At 37.6% G+C, this 20,879-nt stretch overlaps 1 protein-coding gene and 1 long non-coding RNA gene across 14 annotated transcripts in view; one reads left to right on the top strand and one right to left on the bottom strand.

Moving 5' to 3' along the window:
* LOC105370826 (uncharacterized) overlaps window positions 1-20,879 on the bottom strand; it is a 107,205-nt gene that overhangs the window by 2,232 nt on the left and 84,094 nt on the right. For 2 of the 3 annotated variants that reach the window (XR_007064643.1, XR_007064644.1), the window contains exon 6: window positions 12,791-17,737. This is a non-coding gene — a long non-coding RNA (uncharacterized LOC105370826). Of the gene's footprint in view, window positions 1-666; window positions 805-12,790; window positions 17,738-20,879 lie in introns of those variants that run through there. The other variant, XR_007064645.1, reaches the window with a different exon arrangement.
* The window catches only part of WDR72 (WD repeat domain 72), a 249,138-nt gene that overhangs the window by 212,111 nt on the left and 16,148 nt on the right, over window positions 1-20,879 (top strand). The window contains exon 1 of one of the 11 annotated variants that reach the window (NR_102335.2): window positions 9,665-9,878. The exons of 8 other annotated variants lie outside the window; for them this stretch is intronic. Coding sequence is in view for 1 of the 3 variants with exons in the window: in NM_001277176.2 (NP_001264105.1) it covers window positions 9,688-9,793 (106 nt within the window). In the remaining 2 variants the exon portion in view is untranslated. Of the gene's footprint in view, window positions 1-9,664; window positions 9,879-9,915; window positions 10,107-20,879 lie in introns of those variants that run through there. 2 more of the 11 variants (NM_001277176.2, NR_102336.1) reach the window with 2 other exon arrangements.

Genomic DNA, 20,879 nt, shown 5'->3' with positions numbered 1-20,879 from the left:
ATTAATGATGCTGTCATTCTCTCGGCTGCTTCATTTATACCACAGTTAAAGTGAAGGCCTATTTATCTGAGCAAGTCTCTAATGTTATACAGCAAGTCTCTAACCATTTCCCTAATCATTCCTTGTGGAGGAAACCAAAACACACATCTTTTTCTCTGCTGGAGCAGAGTGGTGGTTGAATGAGTCTTTAAAGGGGTAGGCAGAGAAAGTTTTTTGTTTAATGCATAATAAATAAAAGGATGGAGAGATGTTTATGTTATAATCTTATGCTCAGAGATTCTGATAAGCTCCCAATTCATATCATGACTATCACTGTTATATAAAAACTGAAGCTCAGCTGGTGGCTTGATGCACTAACCAGAAATGGTCAAGACGAGAGGTCTGCAAACCATAAGCTGAATTCAGCCTGCTATCTGTTTTTGGTAAAAAAAGTTTTATTGGAACACAACCACACCCATCCATTCATGTATTGTTTTTGGTTACTTTCATGCTTCAGCTGCAGAGTTGAATAGTTTTGATAGAGACTATATGGCCCACAAGTCTAAAATATTTACTATCTGAACCTTTAAGAAAACATTTGCCAATCCCTGGTCAAGACTGATGAGAGTGGGAAGCAAACATAAGGCACAGACTGTGTCTTACCAAGCTTGTTTCCTCAACACTTACCACAGTGCTTTCCACCAATCAGTGTTCAATAAACAATGGTTGGCTTCAATTAAACAGGTTTTTCTGGTTTAATTGAACTTCCGCTTTCTGGAGCTTATATTATGAAAGGGGACACCAAAAGTTCACTCAGGAAAGTATCTGCATGAATGAAAGAGAAAGCAAATAAGCACAGATGGGCAAAATAACTCTGGGAAACCCTGGGACCTAGATCTGGGGCCTTCGGTTTAGGCACCTGAATTTGGATATGTATTATAGAGTTGGGCACAAAAATAAGGCCAAAGTCTGGGCAACAGATCACCTTTGATCTATTGTAAAACCAAAGCCTAAGTTAGCCTAAGAGTAAGACTTCATTTTTATGTTAATTTAACTATAAAACCAAAACCAAAGCCTACGTGACCTTAGGTATAACCCTTCACCTTTATATTGGTGTAATTAACCATTGAAATGTTCCTTTAGTGATCTCCCTTTGTCAGTCTGTTACTCATCTTTTAAAAAAAAATCCTAAAATCAGCTTGTTTTTGAAGCAGGTCCATTTTTACAGCCTTAGCTTTTATTATGTGTGTGAAAAGGGCATGTTAATTTAGCTACCTTGAGTTTAAATTTTCTGGTCGATAAATGGGAAAACACGCATCTATTCGGCAGGGTCGTTTTGAGGATTAAAAGATGCAAGATGTGTAAAGTATATATATGTCAACATCCAAACCTGAAAATTGAATAGACAATTTTTGAGCAGAGTCTATCAGCTACACTCTAGTTCTCTCAAGAAACAAAATGGTCCAGTGTCCCCTAGCTGCTTGTTCCAAAAGAACTGTGTATCAGCCCAGCTTGACATTCATCACATGCGACTGTAATTACTTGTTCAATGTCTCTTGCCTGTCAGACCATAAGATCTGTTAGGGCACAAACCATGCCTATCTTTTATTGTTGTTTCCTCTCCCCAGCACCTTGGACAGTACGTGACGTACTGGGTCCCCCAAATATGCCTATGACTGAAAGAATAACATGCTAAAAGAAATAAAAATCCTTAAGAATAAATAAACGTCATCCATACTTAACTGTTTGAAATAGTTCCTACCTAGATGTTTGTGTTCTTTATACCTGGGGCATGGTTATTGGTTCTCTTTCTTCTGTAAATTTCTCCAGATTCTTTCTGGAGCTTCTTGCCTTTCATTCCCAGTCTTCTCTGTGTTGATATAAAGAAGATGAACAAAAAAATGGAAACACTGTTTGCATTGCTGTCTATGCTAATCTCTCTCTGTTGACTCTGAATTCTAAACATGTCTCCTGTAACTGCTGTGATTTACAAGCCCCTTCTAGCAAATAGCTCTTCCATTTTAAGGGGTCAGAACTAGTTTTTAAAAAAATCTTACAAACACTTATAAACTACTAAATAGTATGTAACGTTTTATAATCATGCTATAGTTCCCCACCTCAACCCCCACCAAAAAAAAAAAAAAGCACAGTTCATGACATGGTCAGAAAATCATTAGCATTCACTACAGATAGTTCCCTCAGCTTTTACTTTTTAACCTCACCCCAATTCCCATTGCCTTTATAAATTAGTAAATGGAGCTTATCAAAGATTAATGCCTTGCTTTCTCCTTTTGGCAACTAACTCTCTCTTCTCAAAATCACTCTCTTTGAAGTCAGCCGAAATTCTGTACATGATCCGGATGCACAACAGGAATTCCAATCCCAGTGCATGGCAGAAACTAACCCTGCTGCATCTGAGAGCCCGAGCCCTCCCATCAGGCCTGCCCTGTTTATTCTGTAGGAGCATGGTGGCACTGGCTATTTCTCTTCTACCTAAGAAGTCTTACCTATAAAAGATACCTTACCACGGGTGCATTTAGAAGGAAAACAGGTATATGGTTCAGTGCTACCACACACTACTTTATTGAAAGAAAAGATGATTTAGGTAGAAGATGATCAGAGCATAGCTCTAAATTACTATAGGGAGTAAGCAGAGTTGGTGACCACTTTATGATAGATTTTATACTGGTTATTTTTCACCAGATAAGGTGGCCTCACATTCAGCATAGACTTATATGGCAGACAAATCCAAGTGGTCAAGTACAAAGAAGTCATTCAAGTGGTCAATTACAAAGACGTCATCAACCTTTGGAGATCAGCAACATTTCTTTTTTTTCTTTTCTTTTCTTTTTTTGCTGTCCAGCATTTACTGCTACCATGAGAGCACCCTAGTTTTCTTTTGTGCATTCCTGCAGAAACAATGAATTAATTTGTCCTCTTCCTTCAGATGCCCTAAGCATGCTTGAAGCGCCTACCACCAGATCAATTCCTCTATCATTACCACAGTATGGCCACAGGATGGGCAGGTTTCTTTAGCTCAACCAATTAATCTCTTCTGAGGTCCTGAACTTAAAGCTGAATGAAGCAAAGGCAGAACAAGTGGATGAAATCCTTTTGTTCCAGATGTGGCAACCAAAAAAGGCTGGTGTAGTTCTTCCTACAAATAAATTTCAGAAGTTCCCTGTTCCTGTTACCCTGTGGTGAGCATCCTTTGTGTAAATATTTAGCTCTTACAACCACTGAGACCTGATGAATACAAAGATTATTGATCACTGCTATATACCCAGCACCTCCCACATGCTCTGTCACCCAGTAGCACTCATTGTTTATAGAATGAATGATATTATAATAGTAACAGGCCAGGCACGGTGGCTCACGCTTCTAATTCTAGCACTTTGGGAGGCCGAGGCGGGTGGATCACCTGAGGTTGGGAGTTCGAGACCAGCCTGACCAACATGGAGAAGCCCCGTCTCTACCAAAAATACAAAATTAGCCAGGCGTGGTGGCACATGCCTGTAATCCCGGCAACTCGGGAGGCTGAGGCAGGAGAATCGCTTAAACCCAGGACTTGGTGTTTCCATTTGGCTTAATTGCATTGGTAAATATGTTCAACTCAATGTTAAATAGTTGTTGGTAACAGTGGGCATCCTTGTTGTTTTCCTTATTTTGATGGGAAATCACTGATGTTTCTGAATTAAGTAGGTTGTTGGCTTTGGAGCCAAGGCTTATGTATTTTGTCATATCAAAGAAATATCCAGCAATCCTATTTTATTAAGTATTTTTACATAAATGGACATTTAATTTTGTCTAATGGCTTTTCTTTCCCTATTTCTACTATAATTGTCTACTTACTCTTTCTATCACTACCAAGTTTTCCAGAGAATTACTTGTTTAATCTAGATTTTCAAACTAATTTGTATAGACTGAGCATTATAATCGCTTAAGACTTCTTAAATTTCCTCTCTACTGATAGTCATTTTCCTTCCCCTTTCATTTTTGATTTTGTGTATTTGTGAATTTTCCCTTTGCTTCTTGATTAGATTTGTTAGTGGTTTGTTTGTTTTATTGATTATTTTGTTAAAAGTATCTTTTGCATTTCTTTCTTTGTTCTTTTTTTTATTATTATTATACTTTATGTTTTAGGGTATGTGTGCACATTGTGCAGGTTAGTTACATATGTATACATGTGCCATGCTGGTGCGCTGCACCCACTAACTCGTCATCTAGCATTAGGTATATCTCCCAATGCTATCCCTCCCCTCTCCCCCCACCCCACCACAGTCCCCAGAGTGTGATATTCCCCTTCCTGTGTCCATGTGATCTCATTGTTCAATTCCCACCTATGAGTGAGAATATGCGGTGTTTGGTTTTTTGTTCTTGCGATAGTTTACTGAGAATGATGATTTCCAATTTCATCCATGTCCCTACAAAGGACATGAACTCATCATTATTTATGGCTGCATAGTATTCCATGGTGTATATGTGCCACATTTTCTTAATCCAGTCTATCACTGTTGGACATCTGGGTTGGTTCCAAGTCTTTGCTATTGTGAATAATGCCGCAATAAACATACGTGTGCATGTGTCTTTATAGCAGCATGATTTATAGTCCTTTGGGTATATACCCAGTAATGGGATGGCTGGGTCAAATGGTATTTCTAGTTCTAGATCCCTGAGGAATCGCCACACTGACTTTCACAATGGTTGAAGTAGTTTACAGTCCCACCAACAGTGTAAAAGTGTTCCTATTTCTCCACATCCTCTCCAGCACCTGTTGTTTCCTGACTTTTTAATGATTGCCATTCTAACTGGTGTGAGATGGTATCTCATTGTGGTTTTGATTTGCATTTCTCTGATGGCCAGTGATGATGAGCATTTTTTCATGTGTTTTTTGGCTGCATAAATGTCTTCTTTTGAGAAGTGTCTGTTCATGTCCTTCGCCCACTTTTTGATGGGGTTGTTTGTTTTTTTCTTGTAAATTTGTTTGAGTTCATTGTAGATTCTGGATATTAGCCCTTTGTCAGATGAGTAGGTTGCGAAAATTTTCTCCCATTTTGTAGGTTGCCTGCTCACTCTGATGGTAGTTTCTTTTGCGGTGCAGAAGCTCTTTAGTTTAATTAGATCCCATTTGTCAATTTTGTCTTTTGTTGCCATTGCTTTTGGTGTTTTGGACATGAAATCCTTCCCCATGCCTATGTCCTGAATGGTAATGCCTAGGTTTGCTTCTAGGGTTTTTATGGTTTTAGGTCTAACGTTTAAGTCTTTAATCCATCTTGAATTGATTTTTGTATAAGGTGTAAGGAAGGGATCCAGTTTCAGCTTTCTACATATGGCTAGCCAGTTTTCCCAGCACCGTTTATTAAATAGGGAATCCTTTCCCCATTGCTTGTTTTTCTCAGGTTTGTCAAAGATCAGATAGTTGCAGATATGCGGCGTTATTTCTGAGGGCTCTGTTCTGTTCCATTGATCTATATCTCTGTTTCGGTACCAGTACCATGCTGTTTTGGTTACTGTAGCCTTGTAGTATAGTTTGAAGTCAGGTAGTGTGATGCCTCCAGCTTTGTTCTTTTGGCTTAGGATTCCCGTGGCGATGCGGGCTCTTTTTTGGTTCCACATGAACTTTAAAGTAGTTTTTTCCAATTCTGTGAAGAAAGTCGTTGGTAGCTTTATGGGGATGGCATTGAATCTGTAAATTACCTTGGGCAGTATGGCCATTTTCACGATATTGATTCTTCCTACCCATGAGCATGGAATGTTCTTCCATTTGTTTGTATCCTCTTTTATTTCCTTGAGCAGTGGTTTGTAGTTCTCCTTGAAGAGGTCCTTCACATCCCTTGTAAGTTGGATTCCTAGGTATTTTATTCTCTTTGAAGCAATTGTGAATGGGAGTTCACTCATGATTTGGCTCTCTGTTTGTCTGTTGTTGGTGTATAAGAATGTTTGTGATTTTTGTATGTTGATTTTGTATCCTGAGACTTTGCTGAAGTTGCTTATCAGCTTAAGGAGATTTTGGGCTGAGGCAATGGGGTTTTCTAGATATACAGTCATGTCGTCTGCAAACAGGGACAATTTGACTTCCTCTTTTCCTAATTGAATACCCTTTATTTCCTTCTCCTGCCTAATTGCCCTGGCCAGAACTTCCAACACTATGTTGAATAGGAGTGGTGAGAGAGGGCATCCCTGTCTTGTGCCACTTTTCAAAGGGAATGCTTCCAGTTTTTGCCCATTCAGTATGATATCGGCTGTGGGTTTGTCATAGATAGCTCTTATTATTTTGAAATACGTCCCATCAATACCTAATTTATTGAGAGTTTTTAGCATGAAGGGTTGTTGAATTTTGTCAAAGGCCTTTTCTGCATCTATTGAGATAATCATGTGGTTTTTGTCTTTGGCTCTGTTTATATGCTGGATTACATTTATTGATTTGCGTATATTGAACCAGCCTTGCATCCCAGGGATGAAGCCCACTTGATCATGGTGGATAAGCTTTTTGATGTGCTGCTGGATTCGTTTTGCCAGTATTTTATTGAGGATTTTTGCATCAATGTTCATCAAGGATATTGGTCTAAAATTCTCTTTTTTGGTTGTGTCTCTGTCCGGCTTTGGTATCAGAATGATGCTGGCCTCATAAAATGAGTTAGGGAGGATTCCCTCTTTTTCTATTGATTGGAATAGTTTCAGAAGGAATGGTACCAGTTCCTCCTTGTACCTCTGGTAGAATTCGGCTGTGAATCCATCTGGTCCTGGACTCTTTTTGGTTGGTAAACTATTGATTATTGCCACAATTTCAGCTCCTGTTATTGGTCTATTCAGAGATTCAACTTCTTCCTGGTTCAGTCTTGGGAGAGTGTATGTGTCAAGGAATTTATCCATTTCTTCTAGATTTTCTAGTTTATTTGCGTAGAGGTGTTTGTAGTTTGTAGAGGTGTTTGTAGTACTCTGATGGTAGTTTGTATTTCTGTGGGATCGGTGGTGACATCCCCTTTATCATTTTTTATTGCGTCTATTAGATTCTTCTCTCTTTTTTTCTTTATTAGTCTTGCTAGCGGTCTATCAATTTTGTTGATCTTTTCAGAAAACAGCTCCTGGATTCATTAATTTTTTGAACGGTTTTTTGTGTCTCTATTTCCTTCAGTTCTGCTCTGATTTTAGTTATTTCTTGCCTTCTGCTAGCTTTTGAATGTGTTTGCTCTTGCTTTTCTAGTTCTTTTAATTGTGATGTTAGGGTGTCAATTTTGGATCTTTCCTGCTTTCTCTTGTGGGCATTTAGTGCTATAAATTTCCCTCTACACACTGCTTTGAATGCGTCCCAGAGATTCTGGTATGTTGTGTCTTTGTTCTCGTTGGTTTCAAAGAACATCTTCCTTTCTACCTTCATTTTCTTATGTACCCAGAAGTCATTCAGGAGCAGGTTGTTCAGTTTCCATGTAGTTGAGCGGTTTTGAGTGAGATTCTTAATCCTGAGTTCTAGTTTCATTGCACTGTGGTCTGAGAGATAGTTTGTTATAATCTCTGTTCTTTTACATTTGCTGAGGAGAGCTTTACTTCCAAGTATGTGGTCAATTTTGGAATAGGTGTGGTGTGGTGCTGAAAAAAATGTATATTCTGTTGATTTGGGGTGGAGAGTTCTGTAGATGTCTATTAGGTCCGCTTGGTGCAGAGCTGAGTTCAATTCCTGGGTATCCTTGTTGACTTTCTGTCTCGTTGATCTGTCTAATGTTGACAGTGGGGTGTTAAAGTCTCCCATTATTAATGTGTGGGAGTCTAAGTCTCTTTGTAGGTCACTCAGGACTTGCTTTACGAATCTGGGTGCTCCTGTGTTGAGTGCATATATATTTAGGATAGTTAGCTCTTCTTGTTGAATTGATCCCTTTACCATTATGTAATGGCCTTCTTTGTCTCTTTTGATCTTTGTTGGTTTAAAGTCTGTTTTATCAGAGACTAGGATTGCAACCCCTGCCTTTTTTTGTTTTCCATTTGCTTGGTAGATCTTCCTCCATCCTTTTATTTTGAGCCTATGTGTGTCTCTGCACGTGAGATGGGTTTCCTGAATACAGCACACTGATGGGTCTTGACTCTTTATCCAATTTGCCAGTCTGTGTCTTTTAATTGGAGCATTTAGTCCATTTACATTTAAAGTTAATATTGTTATGTGTGAATTTGATCCTGTCATTATGATGTTAGCTGGTGATTTTGCTCGTTAGTTGATGCAGTTTCTTCCTAGTCTCGATGGTCTTTACATTTTGGCATGATTTTGCAGCGACTGGTACCGGTTGTTCCTTTCCATGTTTAGCGCTTCCTTCAGGAGCTCTTTTAGGGCAGGCCTGGTGGTGACAAAATCTCTCAGCATTTGCTTGTCTGTAAAGTATTTTATTTCTCCTTCACTTATGAAGCTTAGTTTGGCTGGATATGAAATTCTGGGTTGAAAATTCTTTTCTTTAAGAATGTTGAATATTGGCCCCCACTCTCTTCTGGCTTGTAGGGTTTCTGCCGAGAGATCCGCTGTTAGTCTGATGGGCTTCCCTTTGAGGGTAACCCGACCTTTCTCTCTGGCTGCCCTTAACATTTTTTCCTTCATTTCAACTTTGGTGAATCTGACAATTATGTGTCTTGGAGTTGCTCTTCTCGAGGAGTATCTTTGTGGCGTTCTCTGTATTTCCTGATTCTGAACGTTGGCCTGCCTTGCTAGATTGGGGAAGTTCTCCTGGATAATATCCTGCAGAGTGTTTTCCAACTTGGTTCCATTCTCCCCATCACTTTCAGGTACACCAATCAGACGTAGATTTGGTCTTTTCACATAGTCCCATATTTCTTGGAGGCTTTGCTCATTTCTTTTTATTCTTTTTTCTCTAAACTTCCCTTCTCACTTCATTTCATTCATTTCATCTTCCATCGCTGATACCCTTTCTTCCAGTTGATCGCATCGGCTCCTGAGGCTTCTGCATTCTTCACGTAGTTCTCGAGCCTTGGTTTTCAGCTCCATCAGCTCCTTTAAGCACTTCTCTGTATTGGTTATTCTAGTTATACATTCTTCTAAATTTTTTTCAAAGTTTTCAACTTCTTTGCCTTTGGTTTGAATGTCCTCCCATAGCTCAGAGTAATTTGATCATCTGAAGCCTTCTTCTCTCAGCTCGTCAAAGTCATTCTCCATCCAGCTTTGTTCCGTTGCTGGTGAGGAACTGCGTTCCTTTGGAGGAGGAGAGGCGCTCTGCGTTTTAGAGTATCCAGTTTTTCTGTTCTGTTTTTTCCCCATCTTTGTGGTTTTATCTACTTTTGCTCTTTGATGATGGTGAGGTACAGATGAGTTTTTGCTGTGGATGTCCTTTCTGTTTGTTAGTTTTCCTTCTAACAGACAGGACCCTCAGCTGCAGGTCTGTTGGAATACCTTGCCTTGTGAGGTATCAGTGTGCCCCTGCTGGGGGGTGCCTCCCAGTTAGGCTGCTCGGGGGTCAGGGGTCAGGGACCCACTTGAGGAGGCAGTCTGCCCGTTCTCAGATCTCCAGCTGCGTACTGGGAGAACCACTGCTCTCTTCAAAGCTGTTAGATAGGGACATTTAAGTCTGCAGAGGTTACTGCTGTCTTTTTGTTTGTCTGTGCCCTGCCCCCAGAGGTGGAGCCTACAGAGGCAGGCAGGCCACCTTGAGCTGTGGTGGGCTCCACCCAGTTCTAGCTTCCCGGCTGCTTTGTTTACCTAATCAAGCCTGGGCAATGGCGGGCGTCCCTCCCCCAGCCTGGCTGCCGCCTTGCAGTTTGATCTCAGACTGCTGTGCTAGCAATCAGCGAGACTCCGTGGGCGTAGGACCCTCCGAGCCAGGTGCGGGATACAATCTCGTGGTGCGCCGTTTTTTAAGCCGGTCCGAAAAGCTCAATATTCGGGTGGGAGTGACCCGATTTTCCAGGTGCGTCCGTCACCCCTTTCTTTGACTAGGAAAGGGAACTCCCTGACCGTTGGGCTTCCCAAGTGAGGCAATGCCTCGCCCTGCTTAGGCTCGCGCACGGTGCGCGCACCCACTGACCTGCGCCCACTGTCTGGCACTCCCTAGTGAGATGAACCCGGTACCTCAGATGGAAGTGCAGAAATCACCCGTCTTCTGCGTCGCTCACGCTGGGAGCTGTAGACCGGAGCTGTTCGTATTCAGCCATCTTGGCTCCTCCTGTTCTTCTTTTTACTGCTTTCTAATTCATTGTCTTTCTTTCCTCTTGTTTTTTTTTTTTTTCTTTCTTCCTTTGGTTTGCTGTATTGTTATGTCTTCATTATTACAATTTTTTTAAGTTCTACAGTTTTGTATTGAATTTCCCTTTTGAGCTGAATTATTTAGTAATGTGTTTTGAAATTTCCAGGTGGAACGATCTAATTTCTAGCCTTATTGCGTTGTGATCAGAGAAGTTTTCTGTGCTAGTTCCATTCCTGGAATGTTGGAGGGGTCACTCCGGAAAATAAGATGTGGCCAGTTTTGGTAAATGTTTCATGTGCACTTAAGTACAAGGTGTACTGTCTACTATTGGCATTAGAGTTTGATTATTACATCTACTTTATTGACTTAGTTCTGTAGGTTTTCTATATTCTTGTCAATATTTCGTCCCCATTATGTGTCTTATATTCAGAGATATGTGCTAACATTATCTATCGTTAGTTTCCATTCTCTTTAGCCTCTGCTTTATTAAAGTAGCTGTGTTATTACTTACACATATATTAGTCATTGAAATACCTCCATTGTGAATTGCAGTCTTTAGTATTACGAAATACTCTTCTCTGTGTCTTTATTTATTGCTCTTTGGTTTGCATTCCACCATGCTCAATAATATTGTGACCACTGCTTTTTAAAAATTTATTTATATCCTGTCTATCCTTTTATCTTTAATCTTGCTTAACTCTTTGTTTTTGATGTATCTTTTTAAAAACAACATAGTGTTAGATTTTACTTTGTTAGTCAATCTTAATCTCTTTTATTCTAATAGGTGAATTAAGTCCATTAACATTTATTGATAAAGATGGTAAGTTTGTACATAGACACAAATATATGAAACTATATATGTTCTTTTACTATGTCATCTATTTCATTTTATTTTCCTCAAAATCTCTCTTTCTCTCTCACTTTCTGTATGTAGGTATTGAGGGAGTATTTGGTAGTTTTTTTTTTTCCTAATGTTTACCTTTATGCTAAAACCTTTACGTATTACCTTTCTTCTCATTGCCAGTTAGCCCTCAACTATTAGCAATAATGAAATAATTTGCTACTAACATTTTTACTTTCTCTCTTCCAGCATCTAATTTGAAATGATACTCTTTTACTCTCAGGTAATACATATACTACTAAGTATATGTATTACTATGTAATTACTCAGCTTATCCTGCTTTTTATGCACTCTCCATATCCCTCTGATCACCTGCATTTTTCATAGTTGTTCTATGAATTGTCAGAGAATACAGCCATATTTCTATAACCATCATTTGATTTTAGTTCTACAGGTAAATGTATATTTAGTGCTTACCTCTTATTCTGATGCTGATGGCTTTTCAATTATTCTAGTTATCTAAAGCTCATTTTTAGTAGGTCACCCAGGAAAGGCATATTTAAACAATATTTCTTAAGTTATTGCATGCTTATATTAACTTGCAGCCTTTCTAGTTAAAAGTCAATTTTGCTGGATAGAAAATCTTAGTTCAATTTTTTCTTTCTCTTAAATTTTTAAGTATGTTACTTTATTTTCTGGGGTAAAGTGTTGTCATCAGAATCTTTTGACAATTTTATTTTTTTCCCTTATGAGTAACTTGACCCACTTATTTTTCTATCACTATTTTGAAATTTGCTCAAATATAGAATATTGCTATTATCTATAAGTTCAAATTAATGAGTTTCATGGAGTATGTGTTGTAAAGACCAAAAGCAAGGCACTACTTATATCTAAATGTACTTACTGAGACCAGTCATGAAATCTCTGATCCAGTTATTTCAGCTGCTTTTATAGAAGGATCAGAACCATGCAGTGATCTGATTCATTCTGTGATCTGCTGTGTGTCTAGGGGTGGGTGAGCCAGGGCGGGTAGCAGTATAAATATTGGGTCAAACAAGATAAAAACACAGCAAAAAACTTTTTATAATAAACCAAAATAAGTCTATTTTTTCACCTTTAAAATTAACTAAAATGGATATAATAATGCATTCCGCATCACCCAATGTTAACCTGGTGTTCAAGAAAAAGAGAATTTTTTGATGTTATTTTATATGAGGTTTTATGGTGCTTTCTACCCTAGAAATGAAAAAGAAGAATGTTAATAACAAGTAAACCACTATTTCTGTGTGTTAGATGTATACACCGTCAAATGACCTCCTCCACTAATGTGTTTGCCATTGACGGAGCTGAGCTTCATTAGACTTTCAGTTTCAATACTAGCATTTCTTAAATCTTAATGTGTGAATGGAAACCAGGAAAAAAGCAGCAATCAAGAACCATGCACAAGTGATGGTGCAAGACCTGTTCTTACTTTGAAATATAAAAGATTATAGTTGCTCATTTAAAATGTTATGATCTAATCATATCCATAAGCTGAAATTTGATTGTGCACATACAATAATTTAAATTTCCAAACCCAAATCAGTTCTCTAAAAGGCTAATATATATGTAAAGTATATCACCATATCATCATTTCCATTCCATTTAATTTTTATTTAATTTATCAGCAAAAAATTAAAAAAGCTATTTAGAATAACTTTCCAATGAGGTTCTATGTTATCTGGTCAGCATTGTCAGAAGTCACTTTTACTTCCTTCCATATTCAGCACTCTTGATAAGAAAAAAGAATTACAGATGACTTTGGACAGGTTTTTATTTAGTTAATAGATACAAATGGACATGCCTCTTTAAACTGGTAAAATAAAAGGGGGCCACTAACAATAACTTGTAGATTTCTACAGTCTTCAATGAAGATCAAGATAATATAGCTATTTAAAATATTTCTTCTATTACTAGGTTAGAGAAATTTTAGATATTACTACATTGCTAGTAAAATAAAATAAAATGTCTTGACCTTAAGGCTGGACATCTTATTTACATTTATGCATATTTCTAGACAAAGACAGATATACAAATAATAATAATACTGAATTTACTTAGACTGTCTACATTTGAGCCATTAGGCTGAGCACTTTACATGTTTTAACTCATATAATTGTAACAACAGTTTCTTGCCCCTGGTAGGCACCATCACTATTGCTATTTTATAAATGAAGAAACAGAGACAGAAAGGTAAAGTAACATGACCAAGGTTTCCCAGTTTGTAGATGAGCCAGGATTGTATTTGAACTGGGCATTTTAATAGCATTTAGATACATTTCCATATCAATAAACTACTTGTCTTTCATTTGTGAAAGCTGTCCTTTTCAGAAGAGCCCCTAAAACTCAATAATAATCTTGAACAATGTTTGTTGAAGGAAACACTTATAAGAAACCAGCCAATTAAAAAAGGAAAGAAATATATGTAATTCTCTGAACATCTAATAATTATACAATGTCATTCAATTAAACCATCACTCTTAGAAGCAGAATCCTTGTATTACCAAATACAATCCTTGCCAAATATCCAGACACAATCATGGGCTTTAAGGATTACAAGTCACATAATAAAGGATAATGACCTAAAATTAAGCACACCAATATAGAAAGCTGGGACTGTCATGCTCAGTATAAGTCAGCAATCTATTAGATTTAATGTGAGATTAAGGAGCTGTGTAACCCGCAATTACACTGTTTTTCATTAAGAAAAAAGGTGATGATGGTGCTCAGTACAATTCTTCCTTCTATTTACCTCTGTTTAATTGGATTGGGGACTGCTTAAACATCTTTGAGCTGGAGCTTATAAGAAGATGATCCCAGCTGTTTTTCAAAGCTTAAGGCAGCAGACAGACAACAGGATCATGTCAAGGCTCATGCAAAAGCCTTAATCCTACTTTTTACGGTCAAGCAGCTACTGCAGCCCAGTGTTTAACCTTATAAGTACTAAATGTGCTATGTCACTGCTTTGGTACATTTCTCAGTGAATTGTCATTGTTTAAAACTTTTAGCTTCAATGCCGTTAAAAGATCTCAATTCTCTCCACCTTTGGAGGCTGACCATGTTACTGTGCAATGGTTCACCACACTTCTAAAACGTCAGCTGGAGAACAGTGACTTGTTTGTTCATACATTCATCCACCCATTTACTCATTAGATAAATATCCAGCTTTTTTGTATATTTCCCCAAGCTCTCTTATAGATGTAGGAGAGTAACCAGAAAGGCACCCTTCCTTTCTTTGGAGGTCGACCGATGAGCCCCATGATCATAGCGTTTCAGACAGCTCTTTGGGACTCATTGTTGAAAGTAAAAAAAATAAGTTGAAGTTCTCTTCCACTTTTTCTAACTACATCTTGCCAATCCAACCATTCAACAACTTAACCTTAGAACTACCAGCTGTAGTTCTACTGAGAATAATATCGAAGTATTTAAGAAGTAAAGGTAAATGATCAAATTAGCTTTCTCTACAGCTGCACACGCTACTGGGATGGTGACATACTTTCTTTTCTCTTTTCCTTTGGAGGGTGACTGGTAAAGGAAAAAGGGGGTGGCTCTCTGATTTGTCCTGGTGATGGTGAGCAGCCAGCAGAAAAGCAGACACGCTTAATGCTCAGCTGCTCTGACCAGTCAAGCAAGCCACCAAGTCCCAGCTGTGCCTCTTGATGTTTTCTGATTGCACCTACTCCTCAATCTGTGAACTGTTTTCTGGACTCAGATTCATCAAGCGCTGTTGCTTTAAACACGCATGCAGGCAGGCATCCTAGGATATGCCATTATAAGCTGCTGCCAGGGGATCTTCTAGGAGATAAATGGAATCTGTGTGAAGTAAATTAGTGTGAACCAGTCAATCTGAGTGTCAGCCTTGAGCCACTTCCATGGATAACTAGCTGGCTGACTGGAGGCCAGGATCTTGTGCCATAGGTGGGTTGGAAGCTCTGAGATTCTGCTGTACAAAATGAGATGATTTGGGGGGCTGTTTAGTCTTGGAATAAGGCCAATTTGATCTGTGTTTCAGATTTGTCAATGAAATGGAATTCTAAAGCATGTTTGTTTACCTCCTTACTCTAGCTATACCAAATGCCTCTAAATTGGACAACTTTTTTACTGTGGGAAATAGGAGAGAAATGCCCTGGAAATAACTGGTTCCTCCCAGGTTCAGCTGCCATTTGCAGGCTCCAACAGTGCTGTACTAGGTTTGACCCTCCTATCTAAGACCTTTAGGGTTTTAAGACTAAATAATGGCCATAATCTGGCAAAAAATTTTAAGCCGAATCTCTCTCCCTATTTGTTTTTGCAAATAAATCTCTGTGATCTTAAACTCATGAAGAGAAGTTCTCTGCAAAGGTTGATGATCATGGTTCCCTGTCGATACCCAGCATGGGAAATAGAATTTTGGTCATGAGAAGAGGTAAGGGAGAATCTCTTCCATGGCAATACAATGAGGAAATATTTTAAAATAACTTAACGGTGCCCTGGAAAGGATTTAGAGACAAAAATGTATATAAGCCAATAGAGCCTTAAGAATTATTGTTTAGTAGGATTAAATTCTATGTGTAAATGGTTCTATTATGTAAAAATCATGTTTCCATAATTCAGTATTCTTTTAGAGATCATAGTCTATTCTTACATTAAGATCACAAGAATTATTTTTATCTAGTTAAATTATGACAAATCCTCTTTATTTCCTTTTTCCTTTATTACCTTAAAAAAATATTTTATCACCTCCCTCTCTGTGGAATGAAATATCAGTGAGATGGCTGAACATAGAATAAAAATGTATAAAATAGAACTAGTATAATCTAGGCCTTATATTTGGTGAAATTTTTTCAAGCATTTCCTCCCGTAGCCCCAGGGAAGTATTTTACCTTTCATAAGAAGAAACAGAAATCTGTCGTGTAATAGGAACTTGGGCAAAACAACAATTATTTAAATATTCAACAAAATTAATTTATTTTCTACTTCTGGTTACCCTGCCTAGACTCATGTATCCATAATACAGCTTTTGAGTACTTTACGTGAGAGTACCACCATTATAGGGTCCATGGAGACACATTTTATATATAAGATACATTTCAGTATATAGAGTGTGTCTGTGGATGTTAGGTAGCATGAATCATAGCAAAGATCAAACCAAATGCTTTAAAAATTGAGTGACCCTTTCCTTGAACTAATGAAACAAAAATGGGATGTCCTGTGAGAACAAAATTTGTTTTATGCTTGTACATTGAGTTCAAAGAAATAAAATCCCTAGGGTAAATTTAAGTTTATGATTTATGAGAATAAGGAAAAGGGAGTGGAAATCAGTGAATTTCCCCTTCTGTTGTAGGGAGAAGGTGTAATCTTTTGCAACGCATGACTCATATTATTTTATAAAGTTATCTAAAGGTTAGGAAAGTGAGTGTTGGGAAAATGATGCTTTGGCCTAGAGATATTGCATAATATGATCCACCCAATGCTACATAAACATTCAGTGCAAATAAAGTAGACTTCTTCAGTCATCACTACCTGGAAGTTAGCTGTCCCATGAGCATTAGACTCATCATGTTAGTGGAGCAAACATATAATCTATAAATTTCCTGGTGTCTGAGATAAGCTAAAGATGACAGAAACTGACACACTGGGTCAGGCCTCTGATTTTTCTAGCTCAGTCTTCTGATTTCAGCACCAGAGGTTCCATTGTAGAGAGGCAAAGTTATCCTCATAACATCAGCCTCAAAGTCTCAAAATGTGTCTAAAATGTCTTGCTTCCCTACCCCAGTGGGGTAGTCAGAAATGAGACCCAAAGAATGGGATTATAAGTATAACACAGGCCAAATAAAGTGCTAAGGAATACAGGAAAGAGGAGAAAAAATAATGTTAACTGACAGATTGATGAAGATTTCACAGAAAGGTGAAATTTCAGCTAAGTCTTCAATAAAAAGTATTTGAGATAGCAGAGATTTGAAGATTGATGTTAGAGGGGATATCTCAAACTGGGCATCTGTGCGGAGGCACAAATGCAGTAAATAAATGGCATATCCAGGGGACAGTGAGCAGTCTCCTCTAACTATAGTGATGATATCAGAGGCTGAGATTGGAAGGATAAAGAGAGGGGTAGCATCTAGTGAGAAATCGCTAAATGCGAGTTGAGATTATATTGCAAAAGGCTGTGAAATCCATGGCTCCAGAATCTTTCATTGCTGAGTGAACAAAGGTCCTTGTGGGTTTTCTACTTAGGAAATACATGATCAGACCTTGGTTTTAGGGGTATGACTTGTCTTAATTTAAAGAATGGCTGGAGGGAAAGATACCTATTATTGGATAATTAAAATAGAGGAGTGATTCTGGTAATGTCAAACAGAAGGAGGGTATATCTTAATGGGTTGAAGGAATGGGAAATGAGAAAATGACAGTCATAGGTATATATAACTTTTTAGCAATTTTACAAATATACTCTTCTTCAGATTTACTTTCAGACTAGCGTCTTTGTCTTCTTAATCTCTTCTTGAGATACTCTTATATAAATAAACTGTCCTCCCCATTACTTCCTCCCAGACCTTTGGATGGCCTCTTCAATTCCATTGTCTTCTGCATGGGCAACAGTAACTGGAGACACACACAGTGTTCCAAGTGTGGAGTCCTCATGGGCTTACTTGGTTTCCTTGTGGTTGGTTGATTGTGTTGCTCGTCTCCTTCCGAAAGCACCAGCCTTCTGTTAGCCATTTGCCTACATTTTTACATTGACACAATGTCCTTGAGTCATAACAAATGATAGCTCAGTGCCATGTTCTTATTACGTATACTTAGGGTTATTTTAAATTTTTTATTTGTAATTATTATGAATACATACTACTTATACATATTTTTGGGTTACATGTGATATTTTGACGTACGTATACATGTATAATGATGAAATCAGGGTAACTGGGTTTCCATCACTTCACCCACTTATTATTTCTTTGTGTTAGGAACATTCCAATTCCACTCTTTTTGTTATTTTGAAATGTACAATAAGTTATTGTTAACTATAGTCTACCAAACACTAGATCTTATTCCTTCTATCTTACTGTATTTTTGTACTCATTAACCATCCCTTCTTATCCCCCGCTTCCCACTAACCTTCTTTTAGTTACCATCATTCTACTCTCTATCTCTAAGAGTTCAATATTTTCTTAGCTGTCATATATTAGTGAGAACATGTGATATTTGTTTTTCTGTACCTGACTTATTTCACTTAACATAATGTCCCTCCAGTTCCATTCATATGGTTGCAAATGACAGAAGTTCATTCTTTTTATGACTGAATAATATTCCATTTTGTATAGTACCAGATTTTCTTTATCTATTCATCCACTGATGAACAGTTGGGTTGATTCCACATCTTGACTTTCATGAATAGTGCTACAATAAACATGGGAATACAGATATCCCTTTGACATACTGATTTCCTTTGTTTTGGACATGTACCCCACAGTGGAACTGCTGGATTATATGGTAGTTCTATTTTTAGTTTTTGAGAAACCTCCATACTGTTCTCCATGGTAGCTGTACTAATTTACATTCCCACCAGCGGTGTATGAGGGTTCTCCTTTCTCCACATCCTTGACAGCATTCGTTATTGCCTGTCTTTTGTCTAAAAGCCATTTTGACTAGAGTGAGATGATGTCTCATTGTAGTTTAATTTGCATTTCTCTAACGATTAGTGTATTACATATACTTTGGGTTGTGTTTCCTCTAAATGTTTCCCAAACTTTACTCAAATGTGTATGCAACATTTATTCTCATTCATTCTGCCTTACGATTGTTTTCTATAACTAATCTAATTGGTCTAACATTTCACAACTCAAGAACCCTTAGTGTCTTAGAGATTTACCATGCATTTTTCCAAACAATGTGTAAAACTATATTGAGAGAGAGATTTTTACACTAATCTAGGAAACTGTCTTATCTAGAAATATCTATTCATCTCTTAACCTTTTGTTTCCTATTTCTTAGCTCTCCAATATGATAACATCTCTTTTGTATGGAACCTAGCTTTCTGGAAGTATCATTAGATTATATTTACTAGTTTCCCTTTATCCACGTGCATGTTTGCTCTTTAAAACTTGGCTTTCTTTAGGTGTGTTTCTCCTATCCTTTATTTATAGATGTCAGTAGCTTATGTAATATCAAATGAAACTCTACTACTTATCAAGGTCACTTCCATATTTTCAGCAACCATCTCTTGGAGATATTAGTCCAAATACTCAGTGTTATGCAGTGAGACAGCTTGAGGATTTGAGAAGGCATCTTTCTGTTATTTATCTCTCAATAAAACTAATACTTTTAAATGAGTGCCTACATTGAGATGTGTGACAGTAAGAACCAGCTGATGCCAACAGACCACCTATGCTTTCTATGTCTTGTGTAAATGCATATGGAGGGTGTGGGGGTGTGAGAAAGTGATACTCACTACTGATTGCGTTATCATATAGTTGTAAAATACTTGTTAGCATCCAAGCATGTCTTTCGTTCAATCTCAATATGTTTTTAAGTAGCTAACATACCACTTTGATGTCATTCAAATAAAAATAAGTCACATTCAGAGTAACTCAGCCTAATGATACGAAATATGGTAACTCAGACATGTTCTTCCTTGCATCCTTCTTAATGTTGACAAAGAACTAGAAAATGGAGACGTAGTCTAGATAATGTGATTTTCTTATTTTCCATTTCCTATCTGGGAGATGAAAGAGCTCTGACACTTGACTAACCATCTGAGACAAACGCTTTCCCTTGAGATAGAGATGGCTGTCAGCTGGGAATTTGAGACTGCCTGCCAACTATTCTCCCCACACTGATGGTGTTGTCTTAGCTTCAGTCTGTGGAAAGGTTGCTGCTCTTACAAATTCCAGTGCTAGTGCCATTTAACAGTTTTTTCTCCTACTGATTCAAGAGGGGAATGTTTTTTGGTGCTTTTCCTTGGTTTAAATTGCCCTGTGATGTGAATCCTTATCTTAAGTTCATATATAAATCATGTTTATCTCTAGTCTCAAATGCTAGCATGATGCTCTTTTGATTGAAGGGTCTCTTGTTTTCCTGGCCTCCTTCTAAATTTTTAAATACAAGCTGGGAAGTTTACTATAAATTCTTCCTAGAATTTTCCCTTTACTGACTGTTCTTCAATTTATCAATATGTGGGTATCTATTTATTTTCTTCTTTGGAATGTATTCCTGCTTTCAACTTAGTATTTTCTTGAACTTGTGAACAGTAAGTAAAATTAATACATTTCTGTATTTACCATAGGATTTGGTCCTTAAAAAGAAAACAAACGACTTTGCAGAAACTAAATTGCATAAAGAGTGCGAATTAGTTTCTATACATTCTTAGAAATCATTCACCACCATACTTCTTTTAGTGATGAACAGATCCTTTCAGATGTTTCTGAATCTCTTTTTCTTCATTATCTGTATGGTATAAAAACTGGAATTCAGCTTACTGATATGACCAATTAACTTCTTGTATATAGAAATTCTCTTCTTTACCAAATTGTAGATAAATATACAAAATAAGAAGTAATGTTTCTTATTTTGTATATTTATCTACAATTTGGTAAAGAAGAGATTTACTCAGTAATATTCAGAGACCAAAGTCATGGAAATTATTGAAATTTCCTTTAAGTGTCTGCTCATCTACTCACCAGCTGTCTCCTTGGAACACTGCTTGCCACAAAAAATGGTTTTCCAAAGGAGAACATAAAGAAATCTAGGCAAACCTCCCAGTGGGAACTCTTAGAATTACCTGGTTGGGAGCGAGGAAATGTAGCAGGAGGAAGGAATGCAGTTGTACCATTCCCTGTTACTCTCCTTTTCTACTTCCCAACCTACAC

The sequence above is a fragment of the Homo sapiens genome, chromosome 15 (genome assembly GCF_000001405.40).
Source record: "Homo sapiens chromosome 15, GRCh38.p14 Primary Assembly".
Taxonomy (NCBI): Eukaryota; Metazoa; Chordata; class Mammalia; order Primates; family Hominidae; genus Homo; species Homo sapiens.
This window is presented reverse-complemented; position numbering and strand designations above follow the sequence as displayed.